At 41.0% G+C, this 23,809-nt stretch overlaps 1 annotated feature.

The window, feature by feature from the left end:
* Positions 22,386 to 23,585: an enhancer, noted in NCBI's record as "MED14-independent group 3 enhancer chr1:225046922-225048121 (GRCh37/hg19 assembly coordinates)". NCBI's record gives its function as "activates an origin of replication core promoter dependent on BRD2, BRD4, P300/CBP and CDK7 cofactors, and independent of MED14, by STARR-seq in HCT116 cells {active_cell/tissue: HCT116}" and the evidence as "EXISTENCE:reporter gene assay evidence [ECO:0000049][PMID:35650434]".

Genomic DNA, 23,809 nt, shown 5'->3' with positions numbered 1-23,809 from the left:
TTAAAAAGTCAATTATATCTTTAAGCTAAATTTGTTATAATTTTGTCTTTTAACCATTTTGGGCAACCACAAAAGGAACCAAGGGAGACTGCTGATGATTCCTGAGCCCCCTTGGGGAGTGCAGGACAGGCACTGCTGACCCCTTTTCAGGTCCCCTGCCTTCCTCAATGAGCCCCCAAGGTTTGTAAATAAGTTTTTCTAGGGTTGGACTCGCTTTTTTTTTTTTTTTGCGTTGCCTCCCTCCCTTGAAATTCTCCAATCTTTTTGGCTTTCAAATCCAGGGTTAGTTTGTACTGAGAGAGCATATGACCTTTTGGGATTTGTGGTGACTGATGAGCAACTGGCAAGAGCTGCAGTTTTAAAGGTAACTGACAGCAGTTGCAAAAAGTGTCTGTTACTGCAGGAGGTATGCAACTCTGGCTCTCAGAAATTCTGAGCGATTTCACTTCTTTCCTCTTCGTTTATTTTTCTTGTGTGCCCATGTAGGAAGATATCATTGGCTATGTTGGTCAAGGGATCTCAGGGCCAAAGCCACAATTTGACTGCTGGGCAAGTGTTAGGCACCTACACATTGCTTAAAGCACTTGCCACCTAAAAATAAGTAACCTGTGTTAGGATAAGCTGAGTCACAGCAAGGGTTAGTTCTGACACTAGGGTACATGCCAGCCTTAAGAAAACTTCTGTGCATTAAAGAAACATTGTGAAAACATTACACTACCCAACCCTGTGGCTTTTCCCTCTTAGATATTTATCTTTGCTCTGAGAAAACTCCAAAAAAGTATGTTAATGAGGACACTGTAACCTATAAATAATGTTTTCAGACCAGAAACCCAAAGTGATGGTAACTGAGAATAGCACTAATGGTCTAGGTGAGAGTGACCAAAGAGGGGAATTGTTAAACAAAATTTATGGGAGGTGATATGGTTTGTGTTTGTGTCTCCACCCAAATCTTGTGTTGAATTGTAATCCCCAGTGTTGTGGGAGGGACCTGGTGGGTGGTGATTGGACCATGGGAGTGGATTTCCCCTTTGCTGTTCTCATGGTAGTGACTGACTTCTTATGAGATCTGGTTGTTTAAAAGTGTGTAGCACTGGCCAGGCGCAGTGGCTCATGCGCATAATCCCAACACTTTGGGAGACCAAGGCAGGCAAACCACTTTGAGCTCAGGAATTCGAGACCAGCCTAGGCAACATGGCAAAACCTCGTCCCTACAAAAAAATACAAAAATTAGCTGGGTGTGGTAGCACGTGCTTGTAGTCTCAGCTACTTGGGAGGGTGAGGCTGGAGAATTGCTTGAACCCAGGAAACAGAGGTTGCAGTGAGCTAAGATCATGCCACTACACTCCAGCCTGGGCAACAGAGTAAGACCCTGTTTCAAAAAAAAAAAAAAAGTGTGTAGCACTTCCCCCTTCTCTTTCTCCAGCTCTACCATGTGAAGATTGTGCCTGCTTCCTCTTTGCCTTCCACCATCATTGTAAGTTTCCCGAGGCCTCCCCAGCTATGCCTCCTGCACAGCCTGCAGAACTGTAAGTCAATTAAATTTCTTTTCTCCATAAATTACCCAGTCTCAGGTATGTCTTTATAGTAGTGCGAGAACAAACTAATACCATAGGCCATTGTTTTAGATTATCTCCTGCACTAGGCACCGGCAGACCAAACCAAACCAGAATGGAGTCACTTGTGCTGTGTCATTTAATCAAACTGAACCTTGAAACAGGCCAGTTTCCCAAAGAAAACCAGGATATTCCGGTCAATATGTGTCAGTATAATAAAGTCCCCTCTGTTTAAATTCTAAATGGAAAGTAACTTACAAATGACCAATCTGCTTTCTTCAGCCCTTGTCTCTCTCTAAAGCCAACATCCTCTGCTCAGCTCATTGGAAATTCATTCTATTTTATAGAATTGTTGTAGGAAAAACTGGGTTCTTGTCACATGACCAGGAAAGGTTAGGCTTGCAGACACTTTGAAGGGTGAGAAGGGCAGGGTTTATTCGGTGAAAAGGAAAAAAAGGAAACAAGGAATCTCAGCAATGCGAGAATCCTGCTAGCAGGCTTCCCGCCTCACAGATGGAATCCCTGGTTACCACCCAGAAACAGCAGAGGCCAGGCTCCTCACCCTGCAAACTGCACAAACTTCCTGAGGCTCCACCCCATCTTCCCAGTGTGCAAACAGGTCGGAGATTCTCCGGGGAGCCCTTTTAACTTGGCTGTCTCAGAATGAAGTGTCGCCTGATTCTGAAATAGTAAATAAAAGCCAATTTGATCTTTAAATTAAATTTGTTATAAGTTTTTCTTTTGATACAACCAATATTTATTGGGCACCTACTGCATGCCAGGAAATGCTCTAGGCACTTGGGCTACATCCTGAAACAAAACAAAAAGTCCTTGCCCTCATGAGCTTACATTCTACTGGGGTGAGACAGATAATAAACATAAGGAGATAAATTATGTAGACTATAGAAGGTATTAAAATGGTTTGGAAAAAAGCAAAAGTAGAAAGCATAAGTGGGGGAGGTCAGGAGTGCCTGAGGAGGATGAAATAGGTTGTACGTGAAATAATGTTAGATTTGAGCAAAGTCCTACAAGGAGTGAAGGCATTAGCCAGGTGGACACCAGATAGAGGGAACAGCTAAGGCCCTGGAGAGCTGAAATTATCCTGTGCATCAGATCTCATATTCACTAAAGTTGAAAGTGATTCCAAGCCACTTCCTCTACCTCTACCTTGAAAGCAATTGGTCTATTTCAATATCTATATTGTATTTGCAGTCCATTCCCAATCAGAGCTGCAGAATTTGCAGTACTATCACAATCAACATGCAAAAAACAGGAGTTAATAAATTATGCCTGACATTTCCAGACGGAAGTTCCTTTATGAGGATTCAATTTCAAGGTGCTTAGGAAACTAAATATTTTATAGGATTTGCAGCAAGAAAATGCCACAAGTAAGGCCAAAGTTTTAATGGAAAAAAAATGAAATATTGAAATGTCTTTGTCTTTCTAAGCCCTTTGTCAACATATGAAAGAATCAGATCCTAGTCTTTAAAATACAATGAAAGATTGTTGTTGATTGCTAACAATGTTACTTGACCACAAACACCCCAAGACAGTGACAATCAATCGGATAACTGAGACAGCTACTAAGTGATTAACGGTGGAGAGTAGAGACAGCTGGATACGCTGGACAAAGGAATGATTCATGTCTCAGGCAGGACGGAGTGAGATGCCCAGGACAGAGCAGGACAGCATGAGATTTCATCATACTGCTCAGAATGATGTGCAATTTAAAATTTATGAATTGTTCATTTCTGGAATTTTCCACTTAGTATTTTCATACTGTGGTTGACTGCGGGTAACTGAAACTGCAGAAAGCAAAGCTGTGGATAGAGGAACTACTATAGACAGATAATTTCTATACAAATGGTAAGAGATAACAGAGGGGCCATTCATTGCAGGACACTGATGAACCTCACAGAGGAAGGGGCTTTAGAGCTGGGATTGGAAGTGACAATAACAAACACATATTGCCAGCTCTGTATTGGGCATTACCCTAAGTGCTTTATGATTAGGAGCTCATTTTATCTTAACCACACTGCCATGAGATAAAAATCTTTTTTTTTTTTTGAGATGGAGTCTTGCTCTGTCACCCAGGCTGGAGTGCAGTTTTGCGATCTCAGCTCACTGCAACCTCCACCTCCTGGGTTCAAGAGATTCCCCCCACTCAGCCTCCAGTAGCTGGGACTACAGGTGCCTGCCACCACGCCTGGCTAATTTTTGTATTTTTAGTAGAGACGGCGTTTCGCCATGTTGGCCAGGCTGGTCTCAAACTCCTGACCTCAAGTGACCCACCCATTTTGGCCACCCAAAGTGCTGGGATTACGGGCGTGAGCCACTGTGCCCTGCCAATCGTTGGGTTTTTTAAAAATCACATTTGTAGGTGAGAAACCAGAGGCACAGAGAAGTTAAGAAACTTGCCCAATGTTAACACAGCTAATATGTGACCCAGCCAGAAATAGAATCCATGCAGTTGGAGCTCAAATGTGCGCCCTTAACTCCTAAGCTTCTTCTCTAATGAGTCAGTTTATCTGCCCAGGTGGAGAAAGCAAGGACATTGCAGGGAGCTGGACCAGTGTTTGTATATGTGTCGAGGGTTGGGAAGGGTGCAGCCACCAGGAGGCACAGTGATGTCCATCCCCATCCTTGTGGTCCTGCTTCAACCTCAAACTGGGGAACACTGCTGCTAGAGCATACGGGGGAACAAAACCCCCAGAGTCACAGGAATAGTGGTTGGGTCATTCACGTTCTGGTGTTGGGTGGAGCAGGATGCTTTGGCAAAATAAAACAACAAAACAAACAATAAACTGCAATCTCACAAAAGTATGAACAAAGGTACTCAAAATTTCTGCTATCAGGATCATTTCTTTTGGCCATGGCCACCTCTCCAAACCCACTCCACACAAATGGGCTCTGAAAGCAAGAGGCACAGATTATCATTTCCTTGGGAATAAGGAGGAAGAGGGACAGGTCTGGAAGAGAAGCTGCATTGGGAGGAAGCCTGCCTTGGGGTCGGGGGCAGCTCCCTAGGGATGCTCCAGATTTTGAAAAGAAGAATGTGTGGAGTCCTCTCCACCCCTTGTGTCTCCCATCAAGGAAAGAGCATGAGCAGTGCTAACTGGGGATAATAATTCCTCCCATCTGTGTACCTGTTTCCTATGCCATATCACCTGGAAGACTGTAACAGGGTGCTCTGCCTTCAGTTTGCACTCCCTTTCTAGAGTCAGAACAATCTTCCTAGCATATGAAAATGAAATGTATATATATATATATATTTAATGTAAACTTTTAAAATTCTGTATTTCAGTACTTTTGGGGATATAAGTGGTGTTCGATTACATGGATAAGTTCTTTAGTGATTTCTGGGATTTTGGTGCACCCATCACCCAAGCAGTGTATACTGTACCCAATATGTAGTCTTTTATCCTTCACCCCCCTCCTACCTTTCCCCCAGAGTGCCCAAAGTCCATTATATGATTCTTATGCTTTTGCATCCTCATAGCTTAGCTCCCACTTTAAGTGAGAACATACGATATTTGATTTTCCATTCCTGAGTTACTTCACTTAGAATAACAGCCTCTAGCTCCATCCAAGTTGCTGCAAAGGCCATTATTTCATTCCATTTCATGGCTGAGTAGTATTCCATGGTGTATATATATATACCACATTTTCTTTATACACTGGGTTTGTTGACAGGCACTTAGGTTGGTTCCATATCTTTGCAATTGCGAATTGTGCAAGAAACATGCATGTGCATGTGTCTTTTTCATAAAATGACTTTTCTTTTGGAGATACCCAGTAGTTGGATTGCTGGATCAAATGGTAGTTCTTTCAGCAATCTCCACACTCTTTTTTTTTTGTTTTGAGATGGAGTCTCGCTCTCTTGCCCAGGCTAGAGTGCAGTAGTGCAATTTTGGCTCGCTGCAACCTCTGCCTCCTAGGTTCAAGTGATTCTCCTGCCTCAGCCACCCAAGTAGCTGGGACTACAGGCACAAGCCACCATGTGTGGCTAATTTTTGTATTTTTAGTAGAGATGGGGTTTCGCCATGTTGGCCAGGCTGGTCTCGAACTCCTGACCTCAGGTGATCCACCCACCTCAGCCTCTCAAAGTGCTGGGATTACAGGCGTGAGCCACCGTGCCTGGCTTCCATACTGTTTTCCATAGTGGTTGTACTAGTTTACATTCCCACCAGCAGTGCAGAAGTGTTCCCTTTTCACCACATCTACGCCAACATCTATTTTTTAATTTTTTAATTATGGCCATTCTTGCAGTAGTAAGACGGTATCTCATTGTAGTTTTGTGTTTCCCTGATTAGTAATGTTGAGCATTTTTTCATGTTTGTTGCCTGTTTGCACATCTTCTTTTGAGAATTGTCTATTCTTATCTTTTGCCCAATTTTTGACGGGATTACTTGCTGATTTGAGTTCCTTGTAGATTCTGGATATTTGTCCTTTTTTGGATGCATAGATTGTGAAGATTTTCTCCCACTCTGGGTTGTCTGTTTACTCTGCTGATTATTTCTTTTGCTGTGCAGAAGCTTTTTAGTTCAATTGGGTCACATCTATTTATTTTTGTTTTTGTTGCATTTGCTTTTGGGGTCTTAGTCATGAATTCTTCGCCTAAGCCAATGCCTGGAAGAGTTTTTCCAATGCTTTCTTCTGGAATTTTTATGGCTTCAGGTCTTAGACTTAAAAGTCTTTGATCCATCTTGAGTTGATTTTTTATAAGGCGAGAGATGAGGATACAGTTTCCTTCTTCTACATGTGTCTTGCCAGTTTCCCCAGCACCATTTATTGAATAGGGCATCCTTTCCCCACTTTCCTAGTATATCAATATTAAAACCTGCAGGGACTTCCATTGCGTTTGTGAGAGCCCAGCACTCCTTTGCCCAAGCATTATGCCTTCACTGCTACCTCAAACTCATCTCCCAAGCCTGAGTAAATGCATCCCAGGCTTCAGCCACTCTGAACTACCAGATCAAATGCACCCTGCCTTTGTTCACTGGGTTCCCTCTGCTGGCAAACTCTCACTCCTCCTTCAAGACTTAGCTCACTGAAGCCTCTCTTGACTTCCATTTAATGTTACCTCCATTAGGATACTTACCACTATTGCCTACACCTGTAATCTTTAGCCCTGAGCTCACTCGGGGATCTTGTAAAAAACACTAGTGCCAGCCTGAGCAATACGGTGAGACCTGTCTCTACAAACATTTTAAAAATTAGCTGAGCATGGTGGTGCATGCCTGTGGTCCCAGCTGCTTGAGAGGCTGAGGCAAGGAGGATTGCTTGAGTCCAGGAGGTTGAAACTAAAGTGAGCCACAAACACACCACTCCACTCCAGCCTGAGCAACAAAGCAAGACTGTCTCAAAAACAAAAAGCCAAAAACCAATGCTTGGGCCCTACACCCAGAGATTCAGACCCTGCTGGTCTAGGGTGAGCCCTGGAGGGAGGTACTTTGAATTCTGGGGCACTGGATTCATCCTCAGCACCTTCCCCAGGACGTGGAACAAAATAGGACTTCAATTACAAATCGTGTGTTTGTTGAGTGAATAAAACAAGCAGCTTTAAACCCCTCTGTCAGTCAGGTGCTGTTATCTCATTTGCAACTGAAGAACTGAGGCTGAAGGACATTAAGTGATTTGTCTAAGATTACAGGGAGCAACTTGAATTTAATTCTTCTGATTCCAAGTGTGGTGTTCTGCCTGTGCATACGGAAGAAGGACGACACCCAGGAATGTGCCCACTGCAGATGGGAGCTGGAAGAAACTGCCGTTATGTGGAGCTCAATGTCTCCTTTTGGTTATTTTGATGCATGTTTGGGGAGGGACTTTTGCTGTCCCAGTGCATTGTCTTGAATTTTAAAGGTTATCCTTAAAACTCATGCTTCCTTAAAACTTTTTCCCTCCTCTTGCTTTTAATGAATTATGAGCCATTACTTATTTATAACTAATCTACTGCTGCCTTTATGAGGCAGAAAATGAACTACTTTCCAAAGTAATTACCCTTTTTATAGACTTAGAACAAATGCCCATAGCCCCTTCCTTTCTATATGGCTGGTGCGCTAGGTTTCTACTGTCTTGTTTGACATGCCTCAGTCTCTATGCTTGTAATAGATCCATTTAGATTATTTTTCTAACTCACCCTAGAAGCCAGACAGACTTGCTCAGAAAGCTGGCTTGTTCCTGCAATAAATCAAGCATTTTGAGCAAAAGGCTGTTCCTCTCCCAACAGTGAACACGTGCCTTAATATTAACACAGCCTTCTCGGGGCCTTAAGACTAATACAGCCTTCTCCAGAACAGACGCCGCAAGACTAACACGGCTCATAATCTGCTTTTCACAGGTGCACTGAAGTGTGCGGTCTGGTCACCCAGCCCGGCAGCCAGAGGGGAAGCCTTGCCCTTTATTCAGCTTAGGGCAGAAACCATTCAGGCATTCATGTCAAAAGAAAAATCACTGCAAAAGAAAAATGAAAACCCTACTAGTTGTTAATTTGACTCAATATTTATATTTAATAGTTACATTTAATATTGCTATTATAAATGTCATTTTCCCACTTTTGATGGGACTTTATATATAAATGTATATACACAGAGCAACATATTCATTTAATAATCATTCATATTGTTTCTAAAATGAACTGAACACTGTGGAAGTTGCTGTCACCAGCTATTTCATCACATCTCCTCCATATTTCAATTTTTACTGAATATTATATTAGAAGTCTAAAATCCTCCAAGCTCCAAATATAACTTTTAAAGGCAATATCAAATCAATATTTAAAAGAGTGAGGGTAGGAAATCCAGTAGAATTGCAAACCCATTACAGATAGATTTCAATGGTCTGGATTCGTTAAGAAAAAGGATTTTAAAATAAAAATGCATTAGGTCTACAGTCAACATGATCCTCATATTTTGCTCTCTGACCATGGCTCAGAAATTGCCAGGTCTGGCCTCTCATTTCTTCTTTCCCAGGATTACAAGGAAGACTTTGAACTCAGCTCCAGAGTTCACCTAAAGATTAACCTGTAAATGGACTGTAGCTGTTAAAAAGAAAAAAAAATTGTGAGTCCATTAGGCTGAGAAGACTCTTGTGCCTCAGATTCCTGCAAAAGCAAACCTAAGCTCAATATAAACAGAAAAATGAAACTTAAGCTTAACCAATCAGAAACCACCAGTTAACCTCTAACTAGGAACTTTCCACTTTAGCCAAATTTTTTTTTATATAAAAGTAAATATTTTTTACTTCCCCAAACACCTTATAAAATTTTCCTCTCTCTGCCTCCCGGGTCCCCCACAGTGGAGTGCTGAACCATGGGTGGTCCAGTGTTATTGATTCATGAATTCCTGTCTACTCAAATATACTCTTTAAAGTTTTAATGTGCCTAAGTTTATCTTTTAAAATAGCCCATGATGTGGTGGCTTTTAAACTTTATTTGGGGATGATAATCAGAGGTGCCATAAGCAGCAGTGAGATTTTAAATGAGTCACTAAAACCCGTCTTGGCTCAGTTTTCCTTATTGTGAAATGAGGCATCTGTGGATTTATGACAAGAGCTAGGAAGCGTGGAGTAATCTGTAGGTGGGAAAAAAGAATTGCAGATCATATGAAAGATTTAGCAGCAGACTTCCACAGTTGTCATGTAGAAAAGGTCAGATGCATGTTTCTTTATGCCCAGCCCCCAGCTGGGTGTCTGATCTTGCCTGCCTCCTCAGTGAAGGAGAGGAGGGGAGAGTTGGTGAAAGGAGAGGGAGTGAATAGGAGAGGAGACAAGGAGGGAGAAGAGAAAGGAAAGAGAATAAATGAATGAGTAATGAATGAGTGATGCAGGGAGGTCAATGCGTGAAGGTGATGGGTTACTCACACTCATCAAGCCTGGTGACAAGTGGACCTGGGCAGAAGTAGCTGGATGAGTCCCTAAAGCCTCTAGCCTTTCCCTAGCCTTTCAAGGTGCTCTAGTCACTTCTCTGGAGAAGGAGGTGGAGCCACCCTACCTCAGCTCTGCAGCCCCAGAGCTGGAGAAAATGCTCCAAACTGCAGAAGCCTGGCCAGGGTGCTCAACACTGCAACATTTTTTACAGTTGCTGCTTTTCTCAAAGACTTTTAAATGATGGTTGTAATACTGGAAAATGAGTGTTTAAATCATACTTTAGACAGGAGGGAACCTAAAACTTATTCGATTCCACCTTTTAACTTTGTGGATAAAGAAAACAAAGACCATATTTTATTGCAGCATACTCTCATGAATAATGACACACTTTGTAGAAAACGTCCAATAAAAGATGACCTATTGATGGCAGTGCTATTTCACAGCTGCTTCTATATTGAATCTCCCCAACTGGATTGAAAATATATCAAGGACAGAGATGGTGACGAGCCACTTCTTAGTTTTGCATCAAACAGAGGCCCATGAACACTGCACATGCTTATAAATATGCAACACCCAAGCCATACAATGCACATAAAGCACACATATGTGCACACATAGAGAATACACTCTGTCATCCATACGCACACATGTATGTATGCGCACACATGCATATGCCACACGTGCATGTGCCATACACGTGCACATAGAAACACATTCACTCACATACCTACACCAGGACTGTAATACACATACACGTACCTGTGCATCTGCACACACATGCACACTTATGCACATAAACAAGCATGCACATATACATATGCACCCATCCTCTAAATTCTGTTTTCTGGACCAATCCACAAGTGCTGCATGACTAATAAGGCCATGAGTGATTTTACTGAACACACTGATTGTTGTTTAAAATCTGTACCAATAGCTCTTTGAGAAAATAATCTAAATATATTGTTCTCAAGTCCCTCAACTGAGACTAAAAAATTATAATAGGCTCTGAAGAGAAGTTAGCTTTATAAGAAAATAAGACAGCCCCAAAATACTGCTCTCTACCATATGACAGCACCTCGGGGGGATTTATTCACATTTTTATACCTGTTCTGAGGGAAAGAAAAACACTTGGTTCTCCCAGAGAAGAAAGATGTACAAAAGAATACTAGTAATAATAATAAAAACAGCAATCAACCTGTATTCCATCCATCTGCTCTGACAAAGTAATGCTTTTAAAACATAAGTCTGATGATATCACTGGTCTACCTTAAACCTTCCAATAGCTTCCCCTCACTCAGAGTCAAATGCAAACTCTCAACAATGGCCTTCAAGGCCCTGCAGAATCTGGCCCCCATGACTTTTTTCTCTGCCCTCATCTCTCTCTGCTTCGGCCCCAACTCCTTCCTATTCTAAACATACTAAACAAGACCCCAACCCAGGACCTTAGCGGCTGTGGTTGCCTCTGCCTAGAGCACCTTTCCCCAAAGCAGGCAGAGGTTCACACCCAAATGTGACCATCTTCTATAAACTCACACATGCGATCCCCTTCCCCTGCTGGACTTTTTCTTCACAGACCTTATTGCCACCTGCACTGTACATCTGTTTTCCCCTCGCCAGACTGTAAGCTCGATCCGAGCAAGGACTTTTTTCACTCACCACAGGATCCCCATGGCCTAGAATGGCATCAGACATGTACTATTGACTACTAAATGCCCAAGAAGTCTACACTGAATGAATAAATGAATTGCTTGAACACATATTCTATGCCGGGCACTTCCTAAGTGCTTTATATGCTTTATCTCATTTAGTACTTTATGAGGTAGGCATGGGTATGAGCCTCTCTGAGGCTCAGAGAGTTCAAGTAGCATGCCCAGGTAGCTACCTGAGTGTCCCCACTACATGGAAACTGCTGATCCGAGAGAGAGAGAGAGAGAAAGCCAGAGAATGCCGAAGATGAGAACTATGATCTTTTTATAATCTAAGCTTGGTGATGACATCCAATTACTTTTGCTATGTTTTATTCATGATAACTGAATTGGTAAGTCCAGACGCACTGCAGAGAAGGGGACTGCTGACACAGTGCATGAATACCAGGAGATGAGGACCATCTTAGAGAAGGTCTACCACACTTCTTTCTGTCCATCAGACTAGCTCCTTGGCAAATCAGGAATAAAGTGCTCACTGTTGGGAGATGTAGAGATACATAATTCTGCCTCTACAAGGGTGTTTTTTTAACCAATACATAATTTTGTACATATTTATAAGGTACATGTAATATTTTGTTATATGCAAGAATGAGTAATAATCAAGTGAGGGTATTTGGGGTATCCATCACCTCTAGTATTTATCATTTCTATGTGTTGGGAACATTTCAAGTGTTCTCTTCTAGCTATTTTCAACTATACAATACTTTGTTGCTAACTATAGTCACTCTTTTTTGCTATCAAACATTAGAACTTATTCCTTCTATCTCACTGTCTGCACCCATTAACCAACTTCTCTTTATTCCCCCATCCCATCCAGACACCTTTCCCAGCCTTCAGTATCTATCATTCTACTCCCCATCTCGATGAAATCAACTTTTTGGCTCTGACTTATGAGTGAGAACATACAATATTTGTCTGTCTGTGTCTGGCTTATTTCACTTAACATAATAACCTCCAGTTCCATCCATGTTGCTGCAAAGAACATGATTTTTCATTCTTTTTTTGTGGCTGAATAGTTTACACTGTGTATATATGCCACATTTTCCTTATCTATTCATCTATCGAACACTTAGTTTGATTCCATATCTTTACTATTGTGAATACTGCTGCAATAAATATGGCAGTGCAGATACATCTTTGAAATGTTGATTTCTCTTCCTTTCGATAAATACCCAATAGTGGGATTCCTAGATCATACGGTAGTTCTATTTTTAGTTTTTGAGAAATCTCCATACTGTTTTCTGTAGTGGCTGTACTAATTTACATTCCTACCAACAGTGTATAAGAGTTCTTTTTTCTCCAGATTCTCATCAGCATCTGTTAATTTTAATAACAGATTTTAATGGACCTTTGAAATAAGACAATAGTGATTCTTAATCTGATTTCATAATACTCATATATATGTCTTTTTATCATCATCTAATGCAATTCTTAAAATTACAAACACAACAACTACCTTGATTTCTTTCAATATTTTATCATGAAAAATTACAAGCAAATAACAAGGTTAAAAGAATGTTACAGTAAACGTTGGTATACTCATCACTTAAATACTATTATTAATATTTACTATGCCTGCTTTATTACATGTCTGTCTAGCCATCCTTTTATTCAGGCATGAATCCATCTTGTTGCTTGATGCATTTCAAAGTAAAGTGAAGACATCGGTAGACTTCCTCTGAAATACTTCAATGTGCATATAATTAATATGGTTCATAATAAAGTTTGATTTTTTGCAGTATTTTATGTAAATTTTACAGACATTAAATGTATATACATTGAAGGAGTACATTCACTGCATTTGGAACAATGCATTAACCTTTGTAACCCAAACCTCTGTTGAGATACAGAACATTACCATAAACCCCAGAAAATTCCCTCATGCCCCTTCACAGTCAATCCCTGCCCCCACCTCTCAGATGCAATCACCAACCTGGCATCGGAGTGGGCTTCCCTTCATTTGAACCTCATCACTTTATTTTTAAAGCAAATATTTCAATGTTGTTTGTTTCAGATTATAAAAGTGTTACCATCCACCATAGATTTGTTTGGACTGCTCTATAATCGCAATAGGATCATATAATGTACTGTTTTTTGTAAGGCTTCTTTCACTTAGCACAATGTTTTAAAATTCATCTATGTTGTATGTATCAATAGTTCATTCCTTGTTATTGCTAAGTAGTATTCCATTGTAAGATTACAGTGCACTGTTTATTCATTCTCCTGTTGATGGACACCTGGTCCATTTCGTATTATTATAAATAAAGCAGCTGCAAACATTTTTGTATTAGTCTTTTTGTGAACATATTCTTTTACTTGGATAAACATACCTCTGACTTTTAAAAAGATATGCCTTCTTGTCCTTTTATTCAGGGTAATCCAGCAAGGTAAACAAGTGAAAGGAAATAAGATTGGGGTGTTTTAGACCCTGAAGATTTGCAGGTTACTGTTCTAGCACAGCAAAATTGTGGACTAGAAAAATTGATTCACTAAATAGTAAAATCATTGTTTTTGGCTTGGAAGAAACTTAGAAGTCAAATGGTTCAAATCCCTCGTTTTCGTAGAGATCACTGACTTGCTGAGAGACACAGCTTATCAGGAGGGACCTACACCCAGGTCTTCTAACTTCCAGTCTGGTTCTCTTGACACTACCATTCATCCCACAATAATCTTGTGGTATGAAAAAGTGAGAAACAAGTTTAGATTAAAACAATGTGTACCTAAGCCAGTGCATCTTTTACATCTGAGGGGCAGGCCCATAATCCATCACTGGCATCCCAGGGTTGAGAGCGCTAGATAAGCTGGTTCTTTTCATGATACACATCCTGGACCCTGTTGTCACCAGCTTCCACCTTTGCTTCTGAGATTTCTCTATCCCTACTGCCTCCACATGCTCCTTATCTGCAGGACCCCAGATTTTCCCCTTCTGTCTCCTATTTCCCAGGGCAGGGTCAGCCCCATCTTCATCCTTTAGATCTGGCATCAGAGTGGGCTTCCCTTCATTTGAACCTCGTCACTTTATTTATTTATTTATTTATTTATTTTTATTTATGAGACAGAGTCTCACTGTTACCCAGGCTGTAGTGTAGTGGCGCGATCTTGGCTCACTGCAGCCTCTGCCTGCTGGATTGAAGCAATTCTCCTGCCTCAGTCTTGCGAGTAGCTGGGACTACCGGCCCCCGCCACCACGCCTGGCTAATTTTTGTATTTTTTTTAGGAGAGACAGGGTTTCACCATGTTGGCCAGGCTGGTCTCCAACTCCTGACCTTGTGATCCGCCCACCTCAGCCTCCCAAAGTGCTGGGATTACAGGCATGAGCCACCGCGCCCAGCCAGAACCTCATCACTTTATTTTTAAAGCAAACATTTCAATGTTGTTTCAGATTATAAAAGTGTTACATTCAACTACTACATGAGCAAAAATAAAAATACATGAAAATACCAAAGTTGATGAGTCTGGAAATCTGTATACTACTGCTGGTCATGTAAATTTCTGTAAGTACCTCATAGAGTAATTATTCAATATCTGACAACATTTTAAAATGTGATAAATGCCTTCAAATTATCTTAAAAGGATGCAAGTAAGAAATGTATTAGCTTTTACTACCCCAAGTAGCTTGCAACAACAAATATTTCTTTCTTGTTCATTTACTTGAGGACTACAGGTCAGCTAAAACTCTACTAGACTAAGCTGGACTCTACTGGGCTTGACTGAGATCTACTGAATTTAGCCAACTTTCATGTGTCTTTCCATTCAGAGACCTAGGTTGGAGTATTAGTCACTATCTGGGACATGTCATTCTTATGATGGAGAACAGAAGATCAAGAGAGCAGAGCCAAACCACAAAAATGCCTTTAAAGAATCTGTCCCAATGCATTCTAATGAATAATTACTAAATGATATTGTCTACTCAATCTACCTTCTTGGACACAAATATTCATTTCTCTCCACAAAATTTACTCATCTTCTTTCCAAGATACCTCAAGAGCCTCATCCAATTCAACATCAGGCTTCAAGTCCAGGACCTCATGACCTTCATCAGGCTCTGATTGTAGTGATAGTTCCCCTCCAGCCATAAAAGACCTATGTAGAGGTTGAGCATCCCTAATCTGACAATCTTAAAATCTGAAATGCTCCAAAATCTGAAACTTTTTGAGTGCCAACATGAGGCCACAAGTGGAAAATTCCACATGTGACCTCTCACATGTGATGGGTCACACAGTCAAAATGCAGGCACACAATGCACAGTTTTTTCAGTATTTCCAAGGGAAGAAGACTCTTCCACCCCCTTCACCTGTGCTATAACTTTTCCACACATGTTTAGACTTGGGTCCCATCCCCAAGATATCTCATTGTGTGTATGCAAATAATTAAAAATCTGAAAAAATACAAAATTCAAAACACTTCTGGTCCTAAGCATTTCAGATAAAGGATACTCAACCTGTGTCCATCATACAATGGTAGAACCAGATAATTGCAATAAATACTCCCAGTTGAAAAGGGGAGCAAAAGGAGGCACAATAGCCCAGTCAGTGGTCCATAGCAATTCTGAAATCCTGCTGGACAAATCTTGGGGGCTATAGGGAAAAATGTATACCTCATTGGAAAATGATCCATTGTTGAACATATACTCTTCTTTGTCTGACTCTGATGCTGTAAGAGCTCTGTGTCTTTCATTGTCTTTAAGCTGTTTTACAACTCTGTAAATTGTAGATAAATGATAGCAATGCAAAATAATTCTTACCTATAGACATGCAAAAAATTCTGTCCAATAGAATTTTAACTGACTTCTCTCTCCAACTGTGAAAGATGCCGATTTCATCTCCACTTGCACATTCCTGATATACAAAGGTGTCTGATTTTTAGATTCTTCTTTGAGAATTTTCTTTGCAACATCTGCTGGGTTCCCTCATTAATAATGGTTAAATAAAATCTTTTAACATTGGTTCATTTTATACCTGTGTGAGAGGCATTATTTTACCTTTCTAAAAATCTTTAAATGGGGTAAAAACATGGTCTTAGATTGGGCCCTGATTCTGACTCCTGGAAGTGGTTCTCTAAACATTTTTTCCATAGCTGTTGGCTCTGCCCTCTGAGATGTCCTTTATTTTCCATCATCCTCTTTGGCTATATCTGAAGAGACCACTGCAGAATATGCCCAGCTTGGCAGCTGAGAACCTTTCTTGGCCTGCTCCTCATCTGTAGAAAGTTAGGTGCCCAAGAGATGTTTTTACTTCTTGAACTATGACTGTCTGTATTAGTGCAGGCTGGTAGCATTTTTGTCAAAACATTCTCTCGGTAACTTTCCTGTTTTGCTGTCTATTTGGTTTCTGTTGGTTTCCTGTGGCAAAAGGGAGACCCATAGTTCTTTTTGAGAATTGCCTCTCTCTCTCTAAATTAATTACGAATACTTTAGGTTTCTGTGGGACCGTGCCCTTGATTTTAACTTAATCCCCAATGCAAGAGTATTAAGAAGTAGAGCCTTTAGGAAATGATTAAACAATGAAGGCTCTGTCCTCATAGATAGGATTAGTTCTTTATAAAAGGGTCTGAGGAGGTGAGTTCACTGTTTCTGTCCCTGCTATCATGTGAGGACACAGTGTTTATCACTTCTGGAAGACACAGCAACAAGGCATCATCTTGGAAGCATAGACTGGGTGTTGCACCAGACACTGAACCTATTAGCAGCTTGATCTTGGACTTTCATCTCCAGGACTGTGAGAAATAAATTACTATTGTTTATAAATTACCCAGTTTCTGGCATTTTGTTATCATAGCACAAATGAACTAAGACAATGGGCAAAGATATGAACATATACTTCACCAAAAAGATATATGGTTGACAAATAAGCACATGAAAAGATGTTCAACATAATTTGAACATTCGTCATTAGGGAAATGCTAACTTAAATCACAATGAGATACAACTAATTAGCTACTGGAATGGCTAAAATTGAAAAGACTAATAATAACAAGTGTTGGCAAGAATGCAGAGCAACTATTGGTGGTAATGTACAATGTACAACCACTTTGGAAACAGTTTGGCCACTTCTTATAAAGTTAAACATATACTTATGGCCCAGCAATCTCACTCATATCTTTATAAAGGGAAATAAAAACTTATGTTCACAAAAAAATTGGTATGAAAATATTTATGGTGGCTTAATTTTTAAAAGCCTCAAACTGGTAAGAACTCAAATGTCCTTCAACAAGTGGATAAATCAAGGTACACCTATACAATAAAATAATACTCAGAAATAAAAAGGACCAAATTCTTGATACATGCAACAATGTGGATGAATTTCAAATGCATTGTGCTAAATGAAAGAGTCCAGGCTCAAAGGCTACATACTGTGTGATTCCATTTATAGGACATTCTGGAAAATTCAAAATTATATAGAGAAAACAAATTAGTAGTTCTAGGGGCTGGGGCTGGGGCTGGGGCTGGGGCTGGGCCTGGCGGCTGACTCCAAAGGGAATTTGAGGATTCTTTAGTATGATAGAATGGTTCTGTATCTTGAGTTTGGTGATAGTCACATGATTGTATGCATTTGTCAAAACTCACAGACTGTACACTAAAAAGGATGGTTTTTACTGTAATAAATTCTACCTTAAAACAAATAGGCTGTGACCAACATGGAGAAACCCCATCTCTACTAAAAAAAAAGAAATACAAAATTAGTCAGGCATGTGCATGCCTATAATCCCAGATACTCGGGAGGCTGAGGCAGGAGAATCGCTTGAACCTGGGAGGGAGAGGTTGCGGTGAGCCGAGATCACGCCATGGCACTCCAGCCTGGGCAACAAGAGCGAAACTCCGTCACCAAAAAACAAACAAACAAACAAAAAAGCACAATAAAACAAATAGGCTGGTGGCTGGGCATGGTGGCTCATGCCTGTAATCCCAGCACTTTGGGAGGCTGAGGGAGGTGGATCACCTGAGGTCGGGAGTTCAAGACCAGCCTGGCTAACATGGCAAAACCCCATCTCTACTGAAAATACAAAAATTACCGGGCACTGTGGTGCACGCCTGTAATCCCAGCTACTCGGGAGGCTGAGGCAGGGGAACCACTTGAACCCAGGAGGCGGAGGTTGCAGTGAGCCAAGATTGTGCCACTGCACTCCAGCCTGGATGACAGAGTGAGACTCTATCTAAAATAAAATAAAATAAAATAAAATAAAATAAATAAACAAAAAACACAAAACAAATAGGCTGGTTATTTTATGAATATCCCTTTCTTTTAGTACCTTATCTAATATAGCTAATAACAACCAACTGATAATTCTGAGCTTTCTACCTTGAAATCTCCTTTCCCAAACCCAGAAGTTCATTAGGTACATTTTTTATGGTTTTACCATATGAACTGCATAACATAGATTGCCACATCTGCAGTATCCTGAAGCCAAAGCTACATATTTTAGGTTTTATTATGATGTCAGCTTACTCTTAGGGACCTATGTTTGTAGCAATCAGCTTTTGCTGCAGCAACTAACAATCCTCAAATTCCAATGGATTACAACAACAAACATTTCTCTCTTCCTTGTGTAGCATAAGGGCTGCAGGTTGGTTGTGGTTCCCCTGGGTGTTGTCGGGCTCAGCTGGGCTTGACCGGGGTAGGCTGGGCTCATTTTGGCAGCCATTTGGGATGTGGTCCATGCAAGGAAGGTCTTTGTCAGAGAAGTCCAATCTCAACCTGTGTTCTTTTTGGGCACTCACATCACTAGTTAAGAAGAACTTATACAAATGGATGCATGTATCGTCTCATACTGCCTCTCAGGCTAAAGGCACAGCTAGTATTTGGGGTATGATGTTCTTATAACAGAGAACAGACCCTCAATGGAAGCAGAGCCAAACCACACTAAATACATGGAAATATTTTGCTTAGACATGGCATAAGCTCTATTGGCCAAAGCAGGTCATACAGCCAAGCCCAAAGTCAATGCAGAAGGGAAGGATATTCCACCCATAGGGAAGCTTAGCGAGGGTGTAACCACAGAACCAGTTCCAACTGATTCAACTTTGTCAATAACAGAATAAGTTGTTTTTCAGTTGCAGTGAACTCCTAGGCTGCAAGTCACATAACCTGAACACGTGCACATGAACAAGGCATGCCTGATTAGTGACCCTGGAGGTGGCTGGAACAAAAAAGTTAACCACATAGAGAACCTAAGTACCTGGACTCCAGAGCACAGACCAAATTAAGGAGCAAGGGGAGCACTGTTTTGTTGCAGTCTGAACTTAAGAGCCAGGGGCCAGGCACCACGTCTCTGAAAAACCCAAACAAATCATGACTTTTTGCATTTTCCTTTCTTCCTCATAGTTAATCCCTCCCTATAAAACCTTCCACAAGACCCCTGCTTGGGGAGACATATTTCAACATTGCCTCTTGTCTCCTTGCCAGTCAACCTTGCAATAAAGCTTTTTTTTCCCCAAGGCTGGTACCATAGTATTAGCTTCTATGTACATTAGACAGTAAACCCATTGCTCAGTGACAAGGACTGAGAAAATAAGTAATTGTGAATAAATCATACAACCACTCTTAGGAACCTGGTATGAGGATATGGACAGCTACATTGCTTGCATTAGGAAAAAAACTAGAAACAATCTAAATGTCCATCATAGGGAAATGAATAAATAAAATCTGGTAGAGTCATTCAATGATCTATTATAGAGCAGTTAAAAAGGAATGGACTGTATGTATATCTATCATTCTATGTCATGGATAGATCTCAAAAACATAATGTTGGGTAAAGAAATTAAGTTGCTAATTTAGCTGGTTACTGCAACATTTCAGTACCTATAAATGGATAGGGAGTGGAGAGACAGAGGGAGAGAAAGATTAGACCAAGTTCTCAATATATTTTTAAAAAGACACAACAATGCAGCTGATATGCAGAGGTCCCACGCAACAGAAGCAAAGGAAACCTGTCTTGATAACACTTCCCTGGGTCCCCAAAGTCCCTAATAGGTGTCTAGCTGTTTGTGCTGCAGCTCATGGAAGGAAGGTCTTGCTAGGTCAGAGAAGCCTATCTCCAGCTATGTCTTTTTTTTTTTTTCTTTTTTTTTTTTTCTGAGAAGGAGTCTTACTCTGTTGCCCAGGCTGAAGTGCAGTGGTGCCATCTCGGCTCACTATAAGCTCCGCTTCCCGGGTTCACGCCATTCTTCTGCCTCAGGCTCCCGAGTAGCTGGGACTACAGCTGACCACCACCACGCCTGGCTAATTTTTTGTATTTTTAGTAGAGACAGGATTTCACCATGTTTGCTAGGATGGTCTCGATCTCCTGACCTCGTGATCCGCCCGCCTCGGCCTCCCAAAGTGCTGGGATTACAGGTGTGAGCCACCGTACCTGGTGTTTTTTTTTTTTTTTTTAAATTGAGGGCTTACATCACTGGTTAAGAAGAACCTATACAAATGAATGCATTTCCACTGAAGGAAATTCTGGACTTTTCTGGTTCTTGAACCTAATTTAGCATCGACCAGGCCATTTCCACATTCAGGGACAAGCAGAGCCAATCAACAAGCATCCTTGAACTGTGTGTCTCTCCTTTTCTTTGCAAGGAAGCTGAAGGACCATTTTTGCAGATATGCGTTGATAGCTGAGGTCCCCTGCACTATATGATTAAGTATTCATTGTGTGGAAAGAATAGCAAGTTGAAGGAAAATAAGATCTATAGAATGGAACTAGAAGGAGTAAGTCATTAGCTGGGTCTTAAAAGATGACTCAGGTTTTAAAAGGCAAAAAAAAAGCACTTTGGGAGGCCGAGGCGGGCAGATCATGAGGTCAGGAGATTGAGACCATCCTGGCTAACACAGTGAAACCCCATCTACTAAAAATACAAAAAATTAGCCGGATGTGGTGGTGAGCGCCTGTAGTCCCAGCTACTCGGGAGGCTGAGGCAGGAGAATGGCGTGAACCCAGGCGGCGGAGCTTACAGTGAGCCGAGATCATGCCACTGCACCACTGCACTCCAGCCTGGGCGACAAAGCGAGACTCTGTCTCAAAACAAAACAAAACCTTAATTATGGAATTACAGATGAAAGGGAACTGTTTGAGACATGCCTAATGAGTCATGCAACCCTTAAATCAAATTGCATTAAAAGTTGTGTCCAAGTAAGGGTTAATTTGGTTAAATGAGAATGACAGTAACTGCTCAGGCACTGTTCTGTGAGGGATGATATTGTAGTTATAAATGTCACGAGGGCCCACCTAACTCACTTATCTCCTAAGAATATCTGGACATTGTTCTCAAAGGCAACAAAAGTATGAATTGTGAAGAAATCAAAATTACTCTTTGGAAATGAGCCATACGCAGTTCTAAGAGCTAGTACAATATATTTGGCTAATGGACTGATGAAGCCCTTAAAAAAGAGGCTGGAGTGGTGTTTCTCGCCCATCTGGAGTCTCCTAGTTTGTTAACCAGCTCTCCAATCAGGGTCCTCTGTCTGGATCTCTGTTTGGCTTCCAGGCTGATCCGCTGTGCTAACTTGTCTGTGACTTTTCCATGTCCTCTTCTTAAAGAGATATTCTACTTCAGCTACTGAGTGTTCAGCAACTGCATTGCCATTGTCCTTGCTATTTTTATTTCTGTCCCAAATTGCTATTGAAAAAGTGCCATGCTTGCACTGCAGGAGTTGTGAATTAAATTCCCATATCCTCTGAGCCACCGCAGCGATAGAAAAGGCTTTGAAGTTTTCTGCCACACAAAGTGAGATGTTGAATATATTCTGGTCTGAGTGTTACCTAGGAGACCCTCCCCATTGTTAAAACTCTTTTCTTTCGTGGTGATGTTGTAGTCTAGCAGAAGAATATGTTTAAAAGCAGGGAGAAAAAATACTAAATTTAAGTTCTGGCTCACGTCTATTAACAGTGTGACCATAAGAACCTCATTAACCTTTTTGATATTCCAGTTCATTAATCTAAAAATGGAGAGGATAATGTCTACCTCAAAGCCATAAGGATTAAATGAGGTAATACATCAAAGTATCAAGTGTCCAGCTTCAAGAAGGCAAAGTTATTCCTCCCTCTTCCTCTCACTGCACCTGTTCTCACAGCAAAGGAACCACCCCCATCCCCAGTGCAGCAGTCAGCAGGCTAACCAACAGGGACTTTACTAATTTAATTCCTCTTTGTTAGTATAAGTGTGATGGTTAATCCTGAGTGTCAACTTGATTGGATTGAAGGATGCAAAGTATTGTTCCTGGGTGCTGTGAGGGTGCTGCCAAAGGAGATTAACATTTGAGTCAGTGGGCTGGGAGAGGCGGACCCACCCTCCATCTGGGTGGGTACCATCTAATCAGCTGCCAGCACAGCCAGAATAAAAGCAGGCAAAAGAATCTGGAAAGACTAGATAGGTTTAGTCTTCTGGCCTATATCTTTCTCCCATGCTGGATGCTTCCTGCCCTCAAACATCAGACTCCGAGTTCTTCAGCTTCAGGACTTAGACTGGCTTCTTTTCTCCTCAGCTTGCAGATAGCCTATTGTGGGACCACACCTTGTGATCATGTGAGTCAACACTCCTTAATAAATTCTGCTTTATATATACATCTATCCTATTACTTCTGTCCCTCTAGAGAACCCTAATATAATAAGATAAATTCATGCGGGGTGAAATGACAAAAAGAAACACAATTAAGAAGGAAAAAACCAACTTCATCTTAAATTCAATAGTACTTTCCACTCTGGGTTTGACTAATTTGTAACCACCCAGACCCCACCAAATCAATCACCATCATGGCAGGTGACCACAGTCTGAGCGGGAGATTGGCATGGGCCCCTTCATCAGGATAGAGTTTATCTTCCCACCCACATCCGCTACACACACCCACTGCACATTGACATAGCCCTTTCATGAGCTCTTAGGAGGAAAGCAAGTATCTCCTTCTGCAGTTACTCATGTACCATTGTCTGGGCACAGGGCATGTTAATAACATGCCCTACAAATTATTCATCAAACCCCCAACAAGTGTGGTCTTTGTCTTCCAAGAAATATTTTGTGGAACTAACACCTGTTATGCTAAAGAGCCTTCATTCTCAATGGTAAATATGAAAATAAACTTGCTGTTTTAATTGATTAGGCTGGGCATGTAGAGGGGAAGGAAATCAGTGATGAGGGTGGTGGATGTGAGACGATAGGGTGAGAAAAGAGTCGTGGGTAGTTTGCGGCTTACCTTGCCTCTCCTTCCATTTCATCCTTCAGACTCAAGACATTATAGGAAATATCATTCGAAACTGGAATTTCCAGGGATGTTTACAACCTACTACAGTTCCTTGACAATTAGAAGGACAGTTTTCTCCTGAGCGATGAAGATAAATTCAAATGAGGAAATAGTTTTAGAAACATGAACTCCACTTCCCTCCACCCCCAAGAAAATGAGCACATACTTTTCAGTAGTGATTTTGACAATGTTATTTATTACTCTACAGTTGAAGAAAATGAAGCATATGGTGTGCAAACACCTTTCAGGTCCATGGATGTGGATACAAGAAGTTTTTTTGTGAAAAACATCTCAGTTCTATACTTAAATGCCTGCAAAACAGCTGCTGCCACTGTACAATATGCAATTCTTGGTGGCATTTGGTAGCTTGAAAAAAAATTGGTACTGGATGTACTACTGATGTCATAGGAATAATTATACTACCAAACAGTTGCTGAAATCTATTTTTAACATAAATCTCAATAAT

This window comes from Homo sapiens, chromosome 1, assembly GCF_000001405.40.
Source record: "Homo sapiens chromosome 1, GRCh38.p14 Primary Assembly".
Classification (NCBI taxonomy): domain Eukaryota; kingdom Metazoa; phylum Chordata; class Mammalia; order Primates; family Hominidae; genus Homo; species Homo sapiens.
This window is presented reverse-complemented; position numbering and strand designations above follow the sequence as displayed.